General features: G+C 38.9%; 1 protein-coding gene across 8 annotated transcripts in view; it reads right to left on the bottom strand.

The window, feature by feature from the left end:
• The window catches only part of DGKH (diacylglycerol kinase eta), a 216,515-nt gene that overhangs the window by 110,124 nt on the left and 81,048 nt on the right, over positions 1–25,343 (bottom strand). For 4 of the 8 annotated variants that reach the window (NR_123714.2, NM_001204505.3, NM_001204506.3 and 1 more), the window contains exon 1: positions 8,312–8,403. Coding sequence is in view for 3 of the 8 variants with exons in the window: in NM_001204504.3 (NP_001191433.1) it covers positions 16,829–16,909; positions 18,888–18,998 (192 nt within the window). In the remaining 5 variants the exon portion in view is untranslated. Of the gene's footprint in view, positions 1–5,617; positions 6,065–8,311; positions 8,404–16,828; positions 16,910–18,887; positions 18,999–25,343 lie in introns of those variants that run through there. The other 4 variants (NM_001204504.3, NM_178009.5, NM_152910.6 and 1 more) reach the window with 2 other exon arrangements.

Below are 25,343 nucleotides of genomic sequence, written 5' to 3'. Positions count from 1 at the left end.
TACATGTCTTTGTACACATAAATGGCACACTTCAGTACGCCTGCTGATTCCAGATAATGATAGTAGTGAAGGCACTGATGAATCTAAAGACTTGAAAACCTTTCTTTACACTCTGTCCTATAAAGTGTGTGTCCTGATATTGTGTTAAACTTCAGGTAAACGCCTTTTAGAAGTTTATCTACAGTCATTTTGAGGATAGTCACGTCTGTCCTTGCTGGTGGACAAGATCCTACATTTTCCTAAAAAGGTCCATGCAATCTAAAGTACATTCATATGAATACTTTACCTGTACAAAAAAAAAAAAAAAAAAGCCTCCCCAGAATCTGAACTCTTACAAAGGCTCCAAAGGGAAAAGGATTAACTGCTTTGTACTGACAGCTTTTCTCACATTATGGTTCTAACAAATGGGGCAGCTCTAATAATATTGTTGAGTAATTGGGAAAAATTAGTTATTATTAGCACCCTTTACTGGCGGAATTTTGAAAAATAAAATGACCAAAATTTGTGCAGAAACCAGACCACAAAGGCCAAACACTCAGCCTACTGCTCTTACAAACATGAGATCTATAACACAGAATGCTGTGACTCTTGCCACTTGAAATATTAGGCCTATGTGGCTGCTAGTTACTCCCCCAGTAGCTAACTACTGTCAGACATTTCATACTAAATAGTGTTATGCTAGATTATTACAAAGCATTAATGAAGTATGTCAAAGCATCCCCTACCAACAAGAAACCCTACCAACTGATTCCAAAAAACTACATCACTAGGCATTGCCTGGTGTTTGGATCAGTGGAAGACATCGCTGATGTCTTGGCCTTACCAAGTCCTGATGTCAAGGGCCAGGGCTGTTGTGTAGCCACACCTTCTAAGATGTCAGCTCTCTTTAATAGTTTCTTACTACTAATCTGTTTATTTCCAAGATACAAAGACTAACTTCTGCCTTGAGTTCCATCTCAGTGGGAGCAGCTTACCAGAAGGTTCCGAGAGCATCCTGACAGCTGGCCAACCCTCCACCTCAACCCTGAGTTCCAGGATTGTCCCAAAGACCTTAGATGTGCTACCAGCAAGTCTCAACCTGTGGCAACCGACAAAATAAACAACTAAAAAATAAAATCTCCAACTAGATAACACTCAACCTATCTGTTGTCAACAGGAAGATCTTGCTTCTGACTTCCCTTATCTGTTGCTGACTAGATTGTCATTTGTCTCTCTTAAGTACAAACCTACTTTTGCCTTCATAAATTGAGATTTGGGCTCAGCGAAGCTTAAACTGGATCCAGAGACCACAAAAATGTGTAAGGCAGAAACCAGTAAATAGAAAATCTCTTTTTGCCAGAAACTAATTTCATGATTTTCTTGTTGGAAATTAAATCCTTACGTAAGAATAAAATGCAAAGGGGAATCAAAATTGCTAATCCTCTCTCATCCATTAAAGACAATCAACCTAGTGACCGCAAGAATCAATGCCATGGCACAAGCACTTTAATCACTGCTAGCTGCAACACTGTTCTAGGTGAGCTTTCTTCTCACTTGAAGGTAATAAGGATTCACTAGGAATGGCCAGGCTAGACTAAATCCTATTTAAAAGGGTGGGCTTTTACTTGGTTACTGTGATTTTACTGTCTAATGGAACCAAAATCTGTGAGGTATAACAATGTGTTCATATTTTTAAAGCATTTCATACAGGATGTAAAGCCCAATTCTGGAGTTGTCAATAAGACCACGTGTGATGGACATGGAACCCCTTTCTTTTCTTTCTTTCTTTTTTTTTTTTTTGAGACACAGTCTCACTCTACCACCCAAGCAAGAGTGCAGTGGCACGATCTCAGCTCAATCTCTGCCTCCAGGGTTCAAGCAATTCTCCTGTCTCTGCCTCCTGAGTAGCTGGAATTACAGGCACGCGCCACCATGCCCTGCCCATTTTTGTATTTTTAGTAGAGAAGGGGTTTCACCATGTTGGCCAGGCTGGTCTCTAACTCCAGGCCTCAGGTGATCCACCCACCTCGGCCTCCCAACATGCTAGGATTACAGGCGTGAGCCACCGGGTCTGGCCCACTGAACCCCTTACCTTCACCCTAAGATTTTCGTGCACATCACTGGGGGCCTCTTAGGGTGATTCAGGACTTCACCAGGCTTGGGTTGTTCACGAGGCATAGGGTTGCAAACATCTCTGGGATTTTCCAGAGAGTTTGAGCACCATGCCTCCCTACTATACCTTATTTCTTAACAGGTATAGTTAAGAAACTGTAGTTAACACCAAAGATTCTGGCTTTCAAGGAGGTTATGGAACATAAAAAATTTCAGCAAACAGAACTCCATCATGCTAGCCAGGATAGAACTGTCAAGATATTAAAACTCTTCAGAGCTCTGCTGTTTCAATGAGATGGTTACTGTGTATCAGACTCTCTTTTGCTAATATCCAGATATTTATAGTGGGAATTAAAATAATTTTTTTTAGTTATTTCTTGCCTTCTGCTAGCTTTTGAATGTGTTTGCTCTTGCTTCTCTAGTTCTTTTAATTGTGATGTTAGAAATAACTAAGATCAGAGCAGAACTAAAGGAAATAGAGACACAAAAAACCCTTCAAAAAATCAATGAATCCAGAAGCTGGTTTTTTTAAAAGATCAACAAAATTGATAGACCACTAGCAAGACTAATAAAGAAAAAAAGAGAGAAGAATCAAATAGATACAATAAAAAATGATAAAGGGGATATCACCACTGATCCCACAGAAATACAAACTACCATCAGAGAATACTATAAACACCTCTACGCAAATAAACTAGAAAATCTAGAAGAAATGGATAAATTCCTCGACACATACACCCTCCCAAGACGAAACCAGGAAGAAGTTGAATCTCTGAATAGACCAATAACAGGCTCTGAAATTGAGGCAATAATTAATAGCTTACCAACCAAAAAAAGTCCAGGACCAGACGGATTCACAGCTGAATTCTACCAGAGGTACAAGGAGGAGCTGGTACTATTCCTTCTGAAACCATTCCAATCAATAGAAAAAGAAGGAATCCTCCCTAACTCATTTTATGAGGGCAGCATCATCCTGATACTAAAGCCTGGCAGAGACACGACAAAAAAAAGAGAATTTTAGACCAATATCCCTGATGAACATCAATGCAAAAATCCCCAATAAAATACTGGCAAACCGAATCCAGCAGCACATCAAAAAGCTTATCCACCATGATCAAGTGGGCTTCATCCCTGGGATGCAAGGCTGGTTCAACATACGCAAATCAATAAACATAATCCAGCATATAAACAGAACCGACAACAAAAACCATATGATTATCTCAACAGATGCAGAAAAGGCCTTTGACAAAATTCAACAACCCTTCATGCTAAAAACTCTCAAAAAAATTAGGTATTGATGGGATGTATCTCAAAGTAATAAGAGCTATTTATGACAAACCCACAGCCAATATCATACTGAATGGGCAAAAACTGGAAGCATTCCCTTTGAAAACTGGCACAAGACAGGGATGCCCTCTCTCACCACTCCTATTCAACACAGTGTTGGAAGTTCTGGCCAGGGCAATTAGGCAGGAGAAGGAAATAAACGGTATTCAGTTAGGAAAACAGGAAGTCAAATTGTCCCTTTTTGTAGATGACATGATTGCATATCTAGAAAACCCCATCGTCTCAGCCCAAAATCTCCTTAAGGTGATAGGCAACTTCAGCAAAGTCTCAGGATACAAAATCAATGTGCAAAAATCACAAGCATTCTTATACACCAATAACAGACAAACAGAGAGCCAAATCATGAGTGAACTCCCATTCACAATTGCTTCAAAAAGAATAAAATACCTAGGAATCCAACTTACAAGGGACATGAAGGACCTCTTCAAGGAGAACTACAAACCACTGCTCAATGAAATAAAAGAGGATACAAACAAATGGAAGAACATTCCATGCTCATGGGTAGGAAGAATCAATATCATGAAAATGGCCATACTGCCCAAGGTAATTTATAGATTCAATGCCATCCCCATCAAGCTACCAATGACTTTCTTCACAGAATTGGAAAAAACGACTTTAAAGTTCATATGGAACCAAAAAAGAGCCCGCATTGCCAAGTCAATCCCAAGCCAAAAGAACAAAGCTGGAGGCATCACGCTACCTGACTTCAAACTATACTACAAGGCTACAGTAACCAAAACAGCATGGTACTGGTACCAAAACAGACATATAGACCAATGAAACAGAATAGAGCCCTCAGAAATAATGCCACATATCTACAACCATTCGATCTTTGACAAACCTGACTAAAACAAGAAATGGGGAAACGATTCCCTATTTAATAAATGGTGCTGGGAAAACTGGCTAGCCATATGTAGAAAGCTGAAACTGGATCCCTTCCTTACACCTTATACAAAAATTAATTCAAGATGGATTAAAGACTTAAATGTTAGACCTAAAACCATAAAAACCCTAGAAGAAAACCTAGGCAATACCATTCAGGACATAGGCATGGGCAAGGACTTCATGTCTAAAACACCAAAAGCAATGGCAACAAAAGCCAAAATTGACAAATGGGATCTAATTAAACTAAAGAGCTTCTGCACAGCAAAAGAAACTACCATCAGAGTGAACAGGCAACCTACAGAATGGGAGAAAATTTTTGCAATCTACTCATCTGACAAAGGGTATCCAGAATCTACAATGAACTCCAACAAACTTACAAGAAAAAAACAAACACCCCATCAAAAAGTAGGTGAAGGATATGAACAGACACTTCTCAAAAGAAGACATTTATACAGCCAAAAGACACATGAAAAAATGCTCATCAATACTGGCCATCAGAGAAATGCAAATCAAAACCACAATGAGATACCATCTCACACCAGTTAGAATGGAGATCATTAAAAGGCAGGAAACAACAGGTGCTGGAGAGGATGTGGAGATATAGGAACACTTTTACACTGTTGGTGGGACTGTAAACTAGTTCAACCGTTGTGGAAGTCAGTGTGGTGATTCCTCAGGAATCTAGAACTAGAAATGCCATTTGACCCAGCCATCCCATTACTGGGTATATACCCAAAGGACTATAAATCATGCTGCTATACAGACACACGCACATGTATGTTTGCTGCAGCACTATTCACAATAGCAGACTTGAAACCAACCCAAATGCCCAACAATGATAGACTGGATTAAGAAAATGTGGCACATATACACCATGGAATACTATGCAGCCATAAAAAATGATGAGTTCATGTCCTTTGTAGGGACATGGATGAAGCTGGAAACCATGATTCTCAGCAAACTATCTCAGGGACAAAAAACCAAACACTGCATGTTCTCACTCATAGGTGGGAATTGAAGAATGAGAACACATGGACACAGGAAGGGGAACATCACGCACTGGGGCCTGTTGTGGGGTTGGTGGGAGGGGGGAGGGATAGCATTAGGAGGGTTCAGCACACCAACATGGCACATGTATACATATGTAACTAATCTGCACGTTGTGCACATGTACCCTAAAACTTAAAGTATAATAAAAATAAAAATAAAAAAATAAAAAATAAATAAAAATATAAAATTTTTTTACTGCCAGTAGCTTATTTTCCCGTATTAGGCCCCTATTCCACATACTTACATGAGACAAGCCATTGTCTTTTACAGAGTTTGAGGCTTTAGTCTGCACCACAAAAAGGGACCAGAAGTGAGAGTCAATCTAAATGAGTACAGGACTAAAGAGCCTTCAACAAAACACTTCAGCCACATCAAGACCACAGTGACGTCTAGGTAAATTCCATTGCCCTTCTTCAAAAAGTACATCAGTATATCAGTCAGGTGGGCAAAAGAAGAATAAACCCTTCATAGCACTCTGCATAGCTTAGAAGCCTCTGTATAACAGAGTGGTTGGTGGAACTTGGGCTGCTGGTCCAAAACTTGACCCATCCTTGCCTGTTTTCATGCAGTAACTCTCAGAAGAGACAGGTTTTAGAAGTTTACTTCCACACAGCTACAGGCTGTGTCTCCAGGATCATGGTGACAATGACAGTATCAGCTCAGGACCATCTATTTGGAGTCTGTAAAAGGCCTCGTATAGGAACACATGAGTGAACTGCAGATTTATAACCAGCCCCAAGACCAGGAGGCAGCACAGCACGTGGCCATGCACTGGGAGCTACAACATGGCACACACACTGGGAAGGTCAGTCCTCCATGATACAAGGTTATAACTGGCCAAGCTTTTCATGTGACAGCAGTCTGCCACTGGCAATCCACAAGGTGCCAAAGGCTAAAGGCCACCTAGGAAATCAGCTTCATAAAACATGGATATTCAGACTCAGGGATAAAAAGTTCTACACAGTGGCCAGGGTTTGGCCTCAGAAATACTGGGAGGGGGGCATGTTTGTGGAGAAGAGCAGATGAACTAGTCTCACAGAAGTTTGTTTATGGAATCCTGAATGGTCTGGGCCTCAAGTTCTAAGAAGATTGTAATTCCGTCCCCTCCTTCCTATAACCTGGGCCCCTATGATGGCACAGTTTCCAGTCCCAGTTGGGAGGCGAGTTCCTCGTTTTTGGTATCCAAATAATCCTATTCACAAGGCCACATACTTTAAAGACAGGGACCTATCCCTGAAGGCAGGCAGCATAGCCTTTAAATTTGTTTAAATTCAAGCAAAAACTTTTTAAAAATTTGGTACTCAGTGGCCAATTTTTTTTATTTAGCACTGTATATCCAAAATCTAGCACAAATGCCTGCTATATATAATGAACTCTTCGATAAATATTTGTTAAATAAATGAATGAATGAATTCTAAGGGCAGTCCTGGAAGTGGACAGATAGATGGGGAGTGGGCTGCTGTGCAACAGACTAGGACAGAAAAAGTACTAGAGGCAGCAGGTTGAAGGTTACTGAGCAGGAGCACTATGTTTTCCGAGTCATGGATCTTCAGTAAGGGCAAGGGGAACATGGTAACACCAGGCACAGCAAATGATCATGACACCCTGACTGAAAGTCCGACACAGCTCTTTGGATGACAAGTGCCCTCTCCCAACCTATTGATAGTGTCTATTAACCACCTCGGACCCTTTGATGAAACTGATCTATGTCCTGGGACTCCCCTGGTCTGGTTTTGCAAGCAAGTCCTAGGTTCCCAGAGCTCCAGAGTTGGCAGAAGAACCGAGGACATGCTCACTGGGTCTTGCCTTACTTTAGAAAGCCCATTTGAAAGATTTCTGGAAGGCTACTAGTGAAGGTGGAGACACCGGTTCTGTTCTTCTTCCACACCTTATCTTCACCCCAAGATTTTCGTCTAGCTACAAAAGGACCAATGGTTTCTTACGCCCTAAGACTTTGGTGTGAGGAAGCCAATAATAACCTTAAGAGCTATTTCTCTGGGTTAGTCTTGGAAAAGATGCTATATCACTAAATAAAAAGATAAATATGAAACACCCACAGAAACAAAGATAAGATATTTCATTTCTAAAAGCCCCTAATTTCTAAGATAGAAAAAGGAATATGAATTTTAAACTTAACATAAATTATCAGCTTTCAGAGTATAAAGCCATCTAAATTGTACTTAAATCAGTTTTAAAAGGCAAAAAACACAACCACTTAAATTGCATTAATATGGCATCATTTTAGAGTGCTATAAAATATTTTAACTAATATAAATGTTAAAATATGAGGTTTGCTGCTATCAGTCATCTAAAAATTATGTAAGCAAAGGTGGGACCACTGCAATGATTAATGAAAGGCAAGAATCATGTTTGTAAACATGGTATAAAATAGTCAAGTCATTACATAAATATTTCAATGAGGGTGCAAGAATTTATGGGTATAATATATATAAACCAATATCATAGGGAGGGATTAGAAAACTGTTCTCTAAGCCAAAACATGACCTAATACTTTTTGTCCAAAAAAACCCACTACAGTTTACAAATGTCACTAATTCATTCATCCAACAAGGATATATCCCTTCATTTATTCAACAAATATTTATTAGCTTTCCCTCTGTGCCAGGCACTGTGTTAGCCTTGAGGATTCAGTGGTAAAGAAGACACAGTCTTTGCATCTGCAAGGAAATTTCAGTTTCCACCATCTCTCCTCACCCCCTCTCACATGCACACACTGTGCAAAGAACTCCCCAACTGCATTCTAGAAAGATGGTCATTTAGCTCTTGCTGTGTGGTATAATGGGCCTCCATATGTAAAGTGTCTAGCATAGTGCCCAGCAGTCTCTAAATCCACTCTTCTTTGCCTATTCCCAACAAACATCAAGAGCTGAGAGCCCTGAATTCCATATTAGCTGTGCCCTGCTATTAGCCATCTAACCTTGAGAAATTCATTTCAGCACCTAAAGCTGAGTCTGCTCTGAGAACTCTCTTCTTGAAGGCCCCTTTCAGCTCACAGGGAATGAGATGACTAAAGATTTCTAATAATGGGAAGAGCTATTACCTCACAAGGGGCCTGTTCTATCAGATGACTCAAGTTAGAAAGTTCTCTGTTATACTGAGCTTGAATTATTCCTCCACGAATTCAACCACAGGTCCTGCGCACTGCAGTAACACAAAACCTGTCTACAGCCTCTCCTATATGATAACGCCTCAAATATTAAAAATACATTTGTCACATTTTTCCAAATTTTTAAAATAAAGAGTGCCCTGAAATGCCAATCAATCCCAGGATTCCCAGACCTTTTTTATAATAATGGTTACCATCCTCTGTGAGCTCTTTAGTCAACATTTCTCTTTAAAGTACAGTGCCAAAATACAATGAAATATTCTAAATTTGTAGTCTGACCAGCAAGTGCTTGCTATTCATCTGGTGATGCAGCATAAGACTCTGCTTGACTTGTAGAAAAAACAACTGAACATGTAATAACCAGTTAGAGGAATACTACCTAAACCACATTTATTTAAAACTCCACAATAAAGACGCAGCATAGCAAAGTCATGAAGATAGAAATTGAGGCCAGATGATGTGGACAGGTTCAGATTCTAGTCATTATATTATTAGATGTTAGCCTCTCTGTTTCAGATTCTTCATCTATCAAATGGGAATCACAATAATTCTTGCACTCTAGGATTCATATAAAGAATTGAATGAGTTATCAGACATAAAGCATTCAGAACAGAAATATAACAGTTACAACAAATATCAAATAAGGTAGGCAACTTACTTGTCAGTGATTATTCAGGTGATAATCTAAATACCTTTTGTGTGTGTGCATTCACAAGTGATATGAAAAGAAAGTAGCTTTTAGTTATTGCCTTTGTAAGTAAATATTGATAGATTAATGGAGAAAAATAAACTGACAGCTTTTTAAGTTCAAAGGATGTGATCTCCCTCTAAGAGAGAGATGAAGTAAACTGTATTAACTGAGAGGAAGCTAAGGGAAAAGCAGAATAAATAGAAAGGAAACATTAAAGGAATTCTTAAGAACATTTTGTTCTGTACCACTAAAACCCACTCTGCTCATTTCAATTATATTATGAATGCATAATTTCTGATATTTGATGTGCCATAAGAGTATGTTCTCATGTTTATTGGTGTCTTTTTATGTAGACCTTTTAAACCCTCGTAGAAAGAATAATAATCTAATGCTAATAAACTTTACTCACATCTGCTGTGGAAAGGGACCCCTGAACTAAAATCCCTTTTTCTTCCAGTGATCATTTAGTTCTAAATATAAGTGTTACCAGAGGGTGCCTGTGTTTCATCAACCGAGTAAGCCCATGTGGGTGTGCCGTACCCATGAAATTTCACACACACCTACAGACTGCCCCCAGAAAATGTTATGGGTGGTTAAATAAATGAATTAAATTACCTATGTATTTCTTTCTACTTCAAACAAACAAATAAAAAACACATGCTACTTTCTCTAGCAAACTTCCATAAGAAGTTTTAACAATACCAGTACAAAAATTTCTTTAAAATTGTGACTCATTTAAGAGTTAGCCTAATCTTCATTAAAATTTAAAGAAAACAGTCATTTGAACAGCATGCTTTGAAAGGTTAACATATGCCATGTGATTGTGATGACTTTCATATCATTAAATAGCTCTTCTTTCGCAAATAACATTTACCTAACATGGTCAGATTATAATTTCATTTATTATTCCCAGTCATAGTTATTAATATGAGATAAAAGTGGAAATAAATCTTTGCTATATCTCTGAAAGATAAGCAGCATGGAATGTTTTCTCAAGATAAAGTTCATCCACATTCTTCTTCCAAATTCCCAAACTTTCAGGAATCGGCAACATACTGCTACTTGGAAATAGGGAGATGATAAACTCGGGAGAATAACTGCCACTTTTATTAAACTGCAGGTATTGTGGTGTATTATCACATTTAATTTAATCCTTATAATCCTATGAGGTAGGTACTCTTGTTATTCTCAATGACTGTTGAGGAAACTGGGATTTAGAAAGGTTAACCCATTTGTCCAAGGTCACATAACTGGATGTAGCCAAGTCAGGACCCAAACCCAGGCTGTTTGACTTTCATGGTCTAAGCTCCTATCCTCTACAAATTGGGTAAATAAAAACAAATCTGGGGATAGACATATCATGATTAGTGAGAAAAGAGAGCAGTGTTTGAGGAAGAAAGAGAACAGTAGAGGCAGAGACTACCCAGATAGAAAGGACTCTGTCTGATTGGAAAGAGCCTTAGATTAAACATCAGGAGGTCTGGGAGCCCTTTCCCAGGGTGGCATCAGTGTGACCAAAAGGAGATCAATTCTCTCTAGCCTCATCTGGGAGGAATACATTCACATACAGCATAGGGCTATGTTAAAGATAAAAATGAAACTTCCAGAACACCATGCAGATAGCAATCAAATTTTTAAAATGAATTTTTTTAAATGAACAACAAAAAAGAACATTTTATTGATTTAACAATCATAGAAAATGCCATGGTAGAACTTAAACTACAAATAAATTATTATTTTTTTTCTTTTTCTCTCTCTCTCTTTTTTTTTTTTTTTTTCTGAGACAGGGTCTTTCTCTGCCACCCAGACTGGAGTGCAGTGGTGCGATCTTGGCTTACTGCAACCTCCGCTCAAGAGATCCTCCCACCTCAGCCTCCTGAGTAGCTTTGACTACAGGCATGCACCACGATGCTCAGTTAATTTTTTCATTTTTTGTAGAGATGGGGTTTCGCCATTTTGCCCAGGCTGGTCTTAAACTCTTGGGCTCAAGTGATTCTCCCACCTCGGCCTCCCAAAGTGTTGGGATTACAGGCATGAGCCACCATGCCTGGCTTGAACTACAAATATATTAATAAACATTAACCTAAATCCTGTCAGAAATTGTCCTTTTCCATTCCCTGATTGCATCACTGCCACCTAAAATCACAAAAAAATACTTTCATTGTTAGTAAGTTTTATTATGGCAGAAGACACTTGTGTAATCATAAACTCAAACTATGGCTAAAATTAGCTTAATTTGAGTCAATACAAGTATATATATAAATTTGTCATATCTGTTTCTTTCTTTTTTTTAGAGACAGAGTCTTTTCCTGTTGCCCAGGCTGGAGTGCAGTGGCACGATCTCGGCTCACTGCAACCTCCGCTTCCCGGGTTCAAGCAATTCTCCTGCCTCAGCCTCCCAAATAGCTGGAACTACTGGCATGCACCAATACGTCCAGCTAATTTTTGTATATTTAGTAGACAAGGGGGGTTCGCCTAGCCTCAAGCGATCCACCTGCCTGGGCCTCCCAAAGTGCTGGGATTACAGGCATGAGCCACCACGCCCAGCAAATTTTTGTATTTAGTAGAGACAGGGTTTCACCATGTTGGCCAGGCTGGCTTCAAACTCCTGACCTCAAGTGACCCACCCACCTCAGCCTCCCAAAGTGCAGGGATTACAGACATGAGCCACCCTGCCCAACCCATATCTATTTATTTATATTGTAAGACCTGGAGCAGAAGAATCTAGCAATACTGTGTGGCCTATAAAACCTGAGATAAATGGGCTTTGTTTTTTTAAGCCACTAAGTTTGTGGTTGGTTGTTATACAGCAATAGAAAACTAATAGAATACCTGAGGCAATTTAGATAACTGAAAAAACAAAGTTATTAACTCCAGAGATGGGAGTGAGAGACTGCACAAGAAAGGAAGAGTAATCTTACTGTGTGTAGGTTTTAAATCATGTCCCAAATCCTTTGACACGACTGTCTTAATGTCTGTGGCCCCCCTTGAAGCCTGGCTGGCCTTAGTGACTCATTCATACCAATTGAATACCAACTGAATGTCGTGGAAATGACACTGAGGAACTTCCCAGGCTAGGTCAATCACTGCCCTGATCTCTAGAACCCATTTTACCAGAGAGTTCAGCACTGGGTTTTCAGGCAAAGCACAGGTTTTCCATTTTCCATTTACCGTTTATGTAGTTTCCACCCACTATTGTACTTTGTCAATATATCACCCTTAGAAACTTCAGCAAGAGGAGGGATGGCTGAAATGAAGTCGAATTTGGCCATTCCTGGATCCTCCAGCCATAATACACCAAACTGCACCATTAGCCTCTGACACAAACCAGCCACAATAACAGCATCAGTAGCAGTCACAATAATTGAGGAAGGTAAGATATTTAAATATTTAAAGAGAGGAAGGTTTGTCAATTACTGGTTGAAAACATGTCTCTTGCTCCATTTTATACCCTGGAAAGTTCTACCAAATTCATTTGCTCTAAAACCCTAAGCAATCTGCCTAACTTTTTAGTCCCTACATTTGTTTTTGTTTCTTTGTTCTTTGTTCTTTTATTTTGTTTTGTTTTGTTTTAGAGACAGGGAATCACTTTGTTGTCCAGGCTGGAGAGCAGTGGTGCAATCATAGCTCACTGCAACCTCAAACTCCAGAGCTCAAGCGATCCTCCCATCTCAGCCTCCAGAATAGCTGGCACTACAGGCACGCACCACTACACCTGGCTAATTTTTGGATTTTTTTTGTAGAGAAGGGGTGTCTCACTATGTTCCCCAGGCTGGTCTCAAAGTCCTGGCTTCATGAGATCCTACCACCAGCCTCCCAAAATGCTGGCATTATAGGCGTGAGCCACTGTGCCCAACCAGTCCCTATATTTCTAGTCCAGTAAACTAAAAAAATAGTATTTGGTTGAATGAAGAAACTTCTTCAAAATATTTCAACAAAAAGTCTTCTCATGCCTAAAATAAACATTCATCTTATTAGTTAAAATCAACAAATACTTATGGATAAGGCACCATAAGATTAAAAAGGTATGACAGAGTCCCTATCCTCAAGGAGGTTATAATAAAAATAAATAGTAAAAAAAAAAATTTTTTTTTTTTTTGAGACAAAGTCTTGCTCTGTCACCCAGGCTGGAGTGCAGTGGCGCAATCTCGACTCACTGCAACCTCCACCTGCTGGGTTCAAGCGATTCTCCTGCCTCAGCCACCCAAGTAGCTGGGACTACAGGCACGTGGCACCATGCCTGACTAATTTTTTGTATTTTTTTTAGTAAAGACGGGGTTTCACCGTGTTAGCCAGGATGGTCTCGATCTCCTGACCTCATGATCTGCCCACCTCAGCCTCCCAAAGTGCTGGGATTACAGACGTGAGCCATCACGCCCGGCCAAAAAAAAATTTTTTTTAGACAGGGTCTCACTCTGTTGCCCAGGCTGGGATCATGGCTCACTAGAGCCTCAAACTCCTCAAGCAATCAGCCTCCTGAGTGGCTGGGACTATAGGTGCATGCCACCATACCCAGCTAATTTTTGTATTTGTTGTAGAGATGGGAATCTATGTTCCCCAGGCTGGTCTCAAACTCCTGGCCTCAAGTAATCCTCCTGCTTCAGCCTCTCAAAGTGTTGGGATTACAGGTGTGAGCCACTGTGCCTGGTCAAAAATAAATACTTAACTAAGTATAAGGCAGCATATGCTAAATTCTGTAAGAAAGACATTACAGGAGAGATCACAAGCCCAGCTGAAGGGCCAAGAAAGACCTGTATAAGGATTTGAATAATTTCCTACTCCAAAACCCTAGACCTTGTCTTCACCAGAAATTAATGCATGCTTCAAATCTTAAATTCTGAAACCCTCTTTCAGATTAAACTCTTAAAGGATACAAAATTCTAGCTAAATAGGAAGAATAATTTTCAGTGTTCTATAGCACCGTAGGATGACTATAGTTAACAATAACATATTATATAGCTTCAAACAGCCACAGGAAAATATTGAATGTGTGCAACACAAAGAAATGGTTGATGTTTGAGATGATGGATATCCTAATTACCTTGATCTGATCACTGTACATTGCATATATCGAAACATCACTATGTATCCTACAAATATGTACAATCATTGTGTGTCATTAAAAAAATAAAAAGCATTAAAAAACAAATAAATGTTGATTGGGGGAAAACCTTATTCACCCTCCATGAGGCTCCAGCAGAGAGACGATTATTCTTCACTGCTCAGGGAAAAGCAAGTGGCTAATCCTACTAGTAGGACTGGTGAAGTTCTTTCTATCTCACCCTACCCCACCTTCAAGTGGAAGAAAGAAGGAATAAGCAAGGTTTTGGCCTTAGGTCTCCAACAATTCATCAGAAGCTCTGCATTTAGTGGTTGTTGGATCCTGTTCAGCCAAAGCTGTCCCCTACTCTTTGTACTGTAGTCTCAAAAACTGAGAAGAGCAGGGAGATGGATGAGTTAACAATCCCTCAAATATCTAGCAATCTCTCCCTTTCTCTTTCTGTCCAATATGCCCTATAAACCACCAACCCTGGATCAATTCATTTGTTTGTTCTCTACTCCCACTTAAAGAAAATGTTATAAGCACAGCGAGTAACAACATTACTAAACTTGATCTCCAATCTTTGGTAGACACCACTCACTACTTAGTAATCATCTATAGGTCCCTGTTCAGTTTCGATTATCTTTTTCTATAGAAGCCACTATTAACCATCCTCAACTTTCACTCACAGCAAATAACCTTATCCTTCAATTTCAATGAGAAAACAGTATTTGGTTTTGAAATATATAAACTTCCTGGTCACACCTGCCTCTGTAAGCTTTCTGTCTCCCGTTCAATGCTGATCTCTTAACCTGCGCTCTGATTCCTACACCCGTCAGCTTACTCAGCAATCATGCTTCATCAGTCATTCCCTCTCTCTCCTGAGTCTTCAACTTTTGGTTCTAACTATTCCTCCTCTCTTCATATAAATGCATTCAAAATCATTTTTAAAACACAACAAAAGAACAACAACAAAACTAAAATTCTCTTCTGGATGAAACATTTTACTAGCTATCTCTGTTCTCCTTTTAACAGCCAAGCTTTTAGAAAACAGTTACCTACCTTGTCTCTGCCTGCCTTTCACTTTGCATTCACAGTACAGCCTAATGCCTGCCCCCAGCCTGCCCCACACTGAAACTACTCACATCAATGGGACCAAATGACCTCCAAGTTAACAAATTGAACCATCACTTTTCAATTCTTCTTTGACTTGACCTCTCTACAGTATAGGACGTGTCAAAGCATCTGTCTTGAAACTCTCTTCTGCTTGGTTTTTATAACATCACTGACTCCTGATTCTCCTTTACTTAAGAATGCTCTCAGTCTTTATTGGTTAAACCTTGAATTTTAACATTTTCCCAGGACTCTATTCTTGGCTTTCCTCTTCTCAAACTAAACTCTCCCTGGGGATCAGGGGAGACGGGGAGGAATATTTACACTATGAATTAACCCACATGCCCATAAATCAATAAGGCAACATCTGAATTCATTTGTGTCCTCTCTTCCCCCAACCCCTACCAGTGCTCACCTCTATCATGGCACCGCTGTGCACCTGTTTAGCAGTCTGTCTCCCCTGCTCTGTCATGCCTAGGGGATGGACACTGCACACTGCTGTCAGGAGTGGTAGCTTTCCAGGGAGGACTGGGAGTGTGGATGGGAGTGACAACACAGCAAGAACAATGCACCTTTGAAGACCTAGGGAGTATGTAGTTATAAAAAGTAGCCCACATGAAATTGGGCTGAACGACGTCAGGAATATCTTGAGGGAAATTATATACATACACATTCACCTCTGAATTTCTTGTGCTTAACACATGGTGGGAACTCAATCCATACTTTGTGAATGAAAGAAGCTGGAAAAAAATGGGTTATCTGAAATAAGCTTTGAAGAATTGGTAGGATTCCCACCGTGACAGATGGGGGAGGAATCACTGAAGTCAGAGGGAACAGGAAAAGCATAGGCATGGGTAGAATTGCTGCACTGGTGGGACAGAGAAGGACAAATAAATTGTCTGGTAATACTAGAATGCTGAGGCATGATCTTACAAGATCTGAAGACTGAGTTGGGGGATGCCATTTGCAGGCAATGTGGAACCAGTGAGGTCTTTTTAAGCAATGTGATCTGTGATCAGAAAAGAAGAAACTGGAACAGAGCTGCCGAATGAATCACCTAAGTGAGAAGTGACCTGAACTATGGCAACTGCCTGAACGATGGCAACTGGGGTGAAATGGAGTGAAAGTAGGCTACATGGAGAAAATATTATATTTAAGACTGAAGGTAAATAAACTTCTTAAATATTCAAGAACAATGGAATTAATTGAAGTATTAATTTAGAGGAGGTGAAAAACTTAAAGCACTAAAATTAAAAGGGAAAAATTATAAAATTTTTAAAAAGTATATTTAACCTCAGGTTAACTGAGTCATAACTGGTACTGGGTGTTAGAATATACAGTGTATTTAAAGCTGATTGTGTTGGTAGGAACTCCAACATGCATAAGTTAGCAACAGTTTGTAATTGAACAGGGCATTCTGTACACGCTTAAGAAAGGTCATTCTATAACTTTTGAGAAGGGAGTTAGCAGAATATAACCATACCGTGAAGCTGTTGTTAGCATTTTTCGTGCTTGCTTCAGCTACACTAGCATCTGAGAGGTCAACTTCATCAAATATCAGAGACTGTTAATGAAAAAAAACATACAAAGACATTAGAAGAAAACCTAACTCAATGCTCTTCAATACATTTTTTCAATACAGGAATTAGGAATAGAAAATGGGGGAAAAAAGTTAAGTTGGTGGTACTTTCTGCAATTTCTTCCTAGAAAGGAAAAATAAAAGCATAAAGTACAACTAATCCATAAATCCCCAACTGAAAAGGGCTTTAAAGACACCCTGGGAACACTGTTTCAATGCAAATGTGCTGTGCTCTCTGGAAGCATAACAGCTACCACTTACGGGGAACCTGCTGAGTGCGTGGCATACACATGCACAATGCAATGTCTCTGAAGCTTGTAACAGCTCTGCCAGGGAGGCAGAGGCAATATCATTGTTTCCAGGTTTGCAAGGTGAGAGCTGAGAACCAGTCCTGGCTTAGCTCACAACAAGTAACTGAACCTTCTGAACCTTATTTTCCTCATCTATAACTATGCGTTCAAATGAGGTAATGAATTTGCTTTGCAAGTAGCAGATGACCTTTTTTGTATACTCTTAACATCCAAGGTAGCAAGTAGGAAATCCTAGTCAATAAATGTAGGCTTCCCACTTTTAGTCACTCATTGTTCATACTCATTCAGCGTTGTTCCAGCAAGGCAGGGATAACGGTGCACCGCAAGAACTGCGGAAACTAGAACTTGAAGTAGTTGACAGCGGAACTTGAAACTGAAGTAGACTGTAGAACTAGTCTACTTCAATTCAACCAATGTGACTGTAAGACTTGTTCGTTGACTGGAAGGAACCTACAGTCTAGCACAGGAGATTAAATAGACACAACTAACTTTAAGGTAAGATAGACAATTAAAAGAGAAGAAATACAATGAAATGCTATAGAAGATCACAGATGATTTATCCAGCAGAAAACTGAACTCTCTCTCGTGAATCATGGAATAAGGACTATTTGAGGGGATCTTGAAGAAAACAGGGAACTTTGTCAAGTGCAGATGGAAAAGGAAAAGTCATCCTAGTGATGGTAGCATGAGCCCAAACTGGAGGCTGTCAAATAGCCAATGCTGTCTAGAGATAAATGTGAAAAATCAGGATGGAGACAGATCAGGGACAATTTTGAACATAATGACTTGTAAAATAAGATTATTTTACATGGTTATTACTTCTATAGATACATAAACTTAGAATTAGGTTTGTTTGCTTGTTTTTACCTCCTGGTGTACAACCCTACCAATTATATCAGGAGCATACATTTATAAAAATGAAAATAATTAATTATTCAACTGGCACAGTAGCCAGAAATCTTAATTTATTTTTGAATACTAAAATACGAGTTTTTACAAATTGCTTCTCCCAAAACTATATTATTATTATTTGATTCAATGGTTATATAAAAAATATTTTAAGTCTTGATTTTATTTCAATATGATTTGTATTCCTAATTGCTAGCATACTGGAGTGATTATTTTGAATCAGGTACTATGGAAGCTCTTGATGTGTATTTTCTCCTTTAAGCCTCCTCTCAGCAACACATGCTGTCCACAGCCACTCCATTGGAATATGCTGGAAGTGGGATATGAGCTCTTGTCTGAACACAGAGCATGAATTCTTAGCAACTATAGCAGCTCTCTCTCTCTCTCTCTCTCATGGTCAGGGAAAGATTTACAAGGTAAAAGGTGGAAACCCAGAATGTTGCGTTTATTACATCTAATAAGGTTACATTTAATGTTTTATTTTAATTGGAAAGAAAGAAGAAAGGAAGAACGAAATGAAACTACACTAGAGCCTTCCTAAAAGATTATTCTTAGGGACCTGTTATGGGACTGACTCAAATAGACCCGCTTGGGATGGGGTCACCGATAGATCACATTTATATTGAATTCATATAAGAGCATAATGCTACAGTGCGCTTCCAAGACAAAAACAGCTTACAGAACCAAAATTTTACATCCATCCATAGCCTCAATTGCTTGAAACTAGTATTCTCGTGAGTTACCTTTGAGTCCTTTGCATAGTAAAGGGTGCGGCCTCGAAGTTTGAAGTATCGCTTTTTCCACCTTTGGAAAGAACTGGTTTGCTTCAATAGCTGTCCCTCTTTAATACTGGTCTAGAGAGAAGCAGAAGCACAATGACACGATTAAAATGAAATTCAAAACCAAATGAAATTCAGAGCCAATGGTGCATTTTCATTAACATTTTGAATAATATTTCTCATGTCTTACAAATTACAGGAGAATATTTTACTCTCACCACAGCTTTGCATATGTGCAAAGCCCCAAAGAGCAAAAGTGAATGTGACATGGTTCTCCGCCCTCAAAGAATTCACAAATAATAGGCAAGACACATGCACATACACTAATACTTGCAATACAGTGTTATGTGCACACTGCCTTGTATATATTAAGTATGGTGGAGGTGCAGTATAATATGATTACGAAAGAGCAGAGGTCCTGGAGCCAGAAACCTTGGGTTCACCTCCTGGTGCCACCACTTAGTAGCTGGATGATCTCAGGCAAGTTACTAAACTTCTTCATGGCTTTATTTATTCATCTGTAAAATGGGGATGACAATAGGACATACCTTATAGGGTTGTTGTGAGAAATAAATGAAAAACACGTTAAAGGACTTAGTGCATGGTGTATAGTATGTGCTCATTAAAGTTAGTTACCATCAGCCAGGTGTTATTTCTAACATATACACAGTACTATGCAGGTGGTCCAGAGAAGGAAGCATCAACTCGCCTCAGAGGGAGTCAAAGCAATGTTCCCAGACAAGGGCCCAAGGTGGGTCTTGAAGGAGTTTATGACAAGAGATGGGGGAAGGGCATTTTAGGTGTGTGCAAAAGTAGAAAGGTTAAAACAACATGGATATTTGAGGCATCTTCAAAGAGCTTTCTGCTATAAATGCAGTGAAAAGTTTGCAAGAGGGAGCAGAGGGAGATGCAGCTGTAAGAGGTAGGCAGGGACTCTGTGGCCCTGGGCCAGGCTCTGGTTAAGTGCCTTAGGTATGCTAGTTCATTTTGTTTTCACCAGCAAAATACTTTGAACCTCTCTGACCTCATCTAGCGTTTCCCTCTCTTGATTTCCTCCATCACAATGGCTGCGTTCTTCTGCAGTGGGCCTACATACTCCTGCTGTAGGCTGGCACTACCTCCCCTCTCCTCCCTCAGATATCCCTCTGGCTGACCCCTTCACCTCCTTCAGGTCTTGACCATCTCAATGAGACCCACCTGAGTAACTGCGTGTTTCACACTGAAACTTGTGCTTGCTCACCATATTTTCCCCCATCCTGATCTTATTACCCACCCCACGAAGTACTTTCCATCTTCTGACACATAATGTAATTTACTACGTTTATTGTGCTACCCCTATTAGAATATAAGGTCCCTGAGTTTATTATATCTAAAAAAGTTAAATTTAATGTTTCATTTTAATTGGATGGAAAGAAGAGAGGAAGGAAAAAAGAAAGCAAACTACACTAGAGCCTTTCTATAGGATTACCTTAGAGGCCATGTCACAACACTGGCTCAAATAGACCCCCTTAGGATAGGGTCCAAGATGGATCACATTTATACAGCATTCAATAAAGAGTTACAGTGCTATAGTGAGCCTCCAAGACAAAAACAGCTTGTAGAACCAAAATTTTTAATCATCCCACTGGATTGCACACTGACAATATCTCCAGTGCCTAGAACATTATCTGCTACATATGATAATGAGATCTATATGAATAAATGGCAGGTGCTGAGATCATATTTCTGTCTGTCTGATTCCACAGTTCATTTCCAACTTTTACATGACACTATTTCTTACTACCATAAAGACATAATATATTGAGAAAAGTTTGTTGTCTCCAATAAGACAGTTAAGTTGAGTTAATATTTACTTTGAATTTCAATAAGAATTTTACTCTACAGCTTGCTCTAAGACTGTCTTCCTGGAACTGTTATGAAATCATTACAATTTAATCGTAACAAAACACTTTTGAAAGTCAGTACCAAAGAGCAAATTTAGAGTCAGACAGACAGATTTCAAGCCAGGCTCCAGCATACAATAACAGTATGAACCTGGACAAATTACCCCAACTCTATGCCTCAGTTTTGTCTCCTAAAAATCGGAAATAACAATACCAACTTCACAAGCTTGTTGCATCTAACTTAATTATAAGATAATGCCTGTAGAGCACTTAGCACACTGTCTGGGTTAGAGAAAACATTCAATAGATGGCAGAAAGTGTTATTATTATGATATCATTATGCTATTAAGTCCAGGGAGTGTTTGCCAGGCATCAAATTATAAGAGCTTCTTGTAAGAAGTAAATAAGTGTTTGCAGCCACTGTCAGGACAAATAACAGCTGGAGTAGGACTGTATCAAGAGAGGAGGTTATAGGAGACAAGAGTCAGAATATGCTGGACACAACAGGGAGTGTGCTTTTTCTTCTAAGTGCAAAAAGCTAGGGAAATGTTTAAGGCAGGAAAGTGACAATGGGGAAACGGGTGAGAAAGGAGGTGGCGATTCAAATGGCAGCCACGGTGGAAAACCACTGCCTTAGACTAGGGGAGGGTCTAGCTGCACATCTAAACCAATTATAGCTGTCGGAGTCCACACAGAAGCAATGGTAAGAGAGGTCTCCTGAGAGGAAGCAGTGAGAAAGGCCAGGTGTCAGGAGAAAATCTTGCCCTTAATAAGCTTCATGTGGCAGCAGCTAAAAGTGCTCCTGGAGTGAAACTCCAGGCCCCATTTTGCACAGACTCTTAAGAAAAATAAGATTTAATGCCAGCATTCTATGGCCTCCCTCCTCCGCCTTTGTTTTTATAATTGCAACTCATTTTTTATAGTGTAAACAACCATTTCAATGTCCTACCACATGGTACCAGCTTAATATACAGGGATGGGAATAAGTTATCTTCTATCATCTCTCCCATCACCAGAGCTCAGGACCCATGTAAACACAGGGCAAATCCCATCACCAAATACACCATTACCACCACTGACTGTAGCAGGAATTAAAAGGTCCCCAAGTCTCACCCCAAAGCCTACTTATTTTTAGCAATATTTCATAACATGGAATCCCAATACAGAAAGGAAATAACATGTACCAGCAATTCACACTGACTTATATTCTATAATTACCTTTTTATTCCATAAATCACACTAAAGTTTTGCTTATAACAATAAAAATTAAAACACATGCATAACAAAGGTATTTTTAAAAAGGGGAAAAACATAAATGATATAAATTTCTAAATAAGTCAAATTATTTAAATCTATTGAGGCTGAGAGTGTTATAGTAAGTGCGTATCAGTATTAGCTACATGTCAGTTACCAAAAATATTCAGATTTATTATGTGACATTTATACCAGAAAGACTAAAAATCCATATTAATCATCTAATTATTTTGTATATTTTAAATGTCATATATCTTGAGAATTTACCCCTGAAATAAAATCTATGTTATCACCAATTAAGTCAGAAATACAAACCAAAGGAAGCAACATTACAGGAAAAAAAATTTACAACTTTATTGAGATATCATGATCATATTAGAAACTGCACATAAAGTATACAATTTGATATGTTTTGACATACAAATATGGCCATGAAACCACTACCATAGTCAAGATACTGAACATATTCGCCACACTCAAAACTTTCCTTGCATCCCTTTATAATCACTACCTGTCCCCAGGCAACCACTGGTCTGCTGCCAACAGTTGCTTCACATCCTCACCAACATTCAGTCAGTCACTTTAATTTTAGGCATTCTAATAGGTACATAGTATCTCATTGTGGTTTTAATGTGCGTTTCCCTAAAGACTACTGACTTTGAGCATTTTCCTCTGCTTATTTTTCATGTGCACATCTTCACTGGTGAAATGTCTGTTTGAATCTTTAGTCCATTTTTAAAATTGAACTGTTTTCCTATTTTTGCATCTTAAATGCCCTTTACATATTCTGGATGCAAGATATTTATCTAATATGTGATTTGCAAATATTTCTTCCCAGTCTGTGACTTTTTTTTTCCATTGTATTAATGGCATCTTTTGAAGAGCAGAGGATCCTGAATTTGATGAAGTCCTATTTATCAATTTTTTTCTTTTATGAATCATGTCAAATCTAAAACAGCTTTGTCTAACCCAAAGTCACAAAGATTATCTTCTATGGGAAAACATTATTTGCACATGCATGACTATTAATCTCAACATAGAATCTAGTCATTCCAATTTTCAGTTGTTCTGTTACTAATTTCCTGTCTACATTGCTTTATTTTTTTTTTAGAAAATATGAACAGGTATAATTATCTAAAATACTGGTTTGTAGCAATTACCCTGTAGATAAACTATTAGAGGAACATCATAAAATGTATAACTTTTGAAATTTATAATATACATTTTGCATATCCATAAAGAGGCACCTCCATATTTGAGGAATTAGCGACTTAATGTAGCTAATATGTAACTAAGAAATAGACCACAGTCCTCTACGTTGGCTTTTTGGTAGCAAATGGTGAATGTACAAGCTAATCCAATCTGACTTTTCTAAAGTTAGTCACATCTTTTTATAACGCTAAAAATTATTGTGGTCTTGGATCATACAGATTTTTTAGTCAAATCAAAGAACATCTTGCAAAATTATTTGGCTAAAGTAATTATAATTCTTAGTGTAAATTCATGTTTAACTCCAAAACATGACCACTCTTTGCTGTATTCTCTGAAGACAAAATTTCCTCCTATTCATCTATATAGGTGGAGCATGTCTTCTTGATCCATGTTTCAAAATATGTGCACACATCATATGCAATGACAAGATACGCTAACAGTCTAATCTAAAAAGCTTTCCCAGGACCTGTAGAAAACATGAAGAATTATAAAGAAAGACTGACACTGTCTATTATAATTTGATGTCCCCTCTGAAACTTATGATGAAATACAATCCTCAATATGGCAGTGTTGAGACCTAGAGCCTTCAAGAAGCTATGGGGTCATGAGTGCTCTGCCTGCATGAATGGATTAATCCATACATAGATTAATGGTTAATGGATCAATGGGCTAACATGAGAGTGGAACTGATGGCTTTACAAGAGAAGAAAGAAAGATCTGAGCTAGCACATTAGCATGCTCAGCCCCCTTGCCATGTGATACTCTGTGTAACCTTGGGACTCTGCAGAGAGTCCCTGCCAGGAAGAAGGCTCTCACCAGATGCCCAGCTATGCCCTTGGACTTTCCAGCCTCCAGAACTGTAACAAATAAATTTATTTTCCTTATAAATCACCCAGCCTCAGGTGTTCTAAGCAAGAAAAATGAACTAAGAAACTGCCACTCTTTATGTGGCATAATGAGAAGCTAAATCTTGTGATGACATCATGAAGCACTCATGCCCTCTCATTCCACTTTCTCTTTCTGCCCTCTTTCACCCTTTAGCTTCTCCCTTTGGTCAACAACTAACATATATTATAAAAGTTCTACCAGAAATTATGTAGTCTAGCTACAAAGAACTATCATGTCCCTCATCAAGAACCTAATTGGGGTAGTGGGGAAAATTTTTCATGCCGCACCTCAGAAAGAAAAGTCTGACTTATGAATATTTCAAACACAAATGGTCATTAGTAATGAGAAGGTCTTTATTCTGGCTGTGTAAAGAACTCTTGAGGGAGAGACTCCACGGCGGAGGTGAGGTGTACTCTTCATTCATCACACAGACAGTATCCACTAATGAGGCTCCAAGTGAAGGACTCTCTGTGTCCCAGGAACCTGGGTTCCAAGTTAGAACTAGGAGTACATCTTTCCATAGAAACCATGTCATAAATCTGCCTTAACGCTTAAGTCCCCATGCTATAGTCTCATGTGTCTGAATCCCAAGGATACCAGTTGCCTAATACTTCTATGGGTGTAGTGGTGAGAAGGAATGAGTCCTGACATAGCTGCAGAAAAATGAACAGGAAGGTCACAGGCAAATTAGGAGGTCAATCTCAACTGAGGATAGGTTTTACCTGCCTTTTGCACTGGCCTGGATTATAAACTCCTTGGAGTCCGGGAGGTCTATCTCATTTGTCTTTGTATCACCATTGTGAAGGTTCTATAATTTATGTAAGTACAGATGCTCCTCAAGTTACAATGAACATACTAATAAACTCATCATAAGTTGAAAATATTGTAAGTCAAAAATGCATTTCATATACCTAGCCTACTGAACATCACAGCTTAGCCTAATCTACCTTAAACGTGCTCAGAACACTTACGTTAGCCTACAGGTGGGCAAAATCATCTAATACAAAGCCTATTTTCTAATAAAGTATTGAATATCTCATGTAATTGAATATCACACTGAAAGTGAAAACAGAATGGTTGCATGAGAACTCAAAGTACGTTTTGTACTGAATTCATACTGCTTTCATATCAGAAAATTGGAAAATTATTAAGTTGAACCACTGTAAGTCAGGGAATGTCTTGT

The sequence above is a fragment of the Homo sapiens genome, chromosome 13 (assembly GCF_000001405.40).
Source record: "Homo sapiens chromosome 13, GRCh38.p14 Primary Assembly".
NCBI lineage: Eukaryota > Metazoa > Chordata > Mammalia > Primates > Hominidae > Homo > Homo sapiens.
The sequence above is the reverse complement of the archived record's forward strand: the minus strand, read 5'-3'. Positions and strand labels throughout refer to the sequence as shown.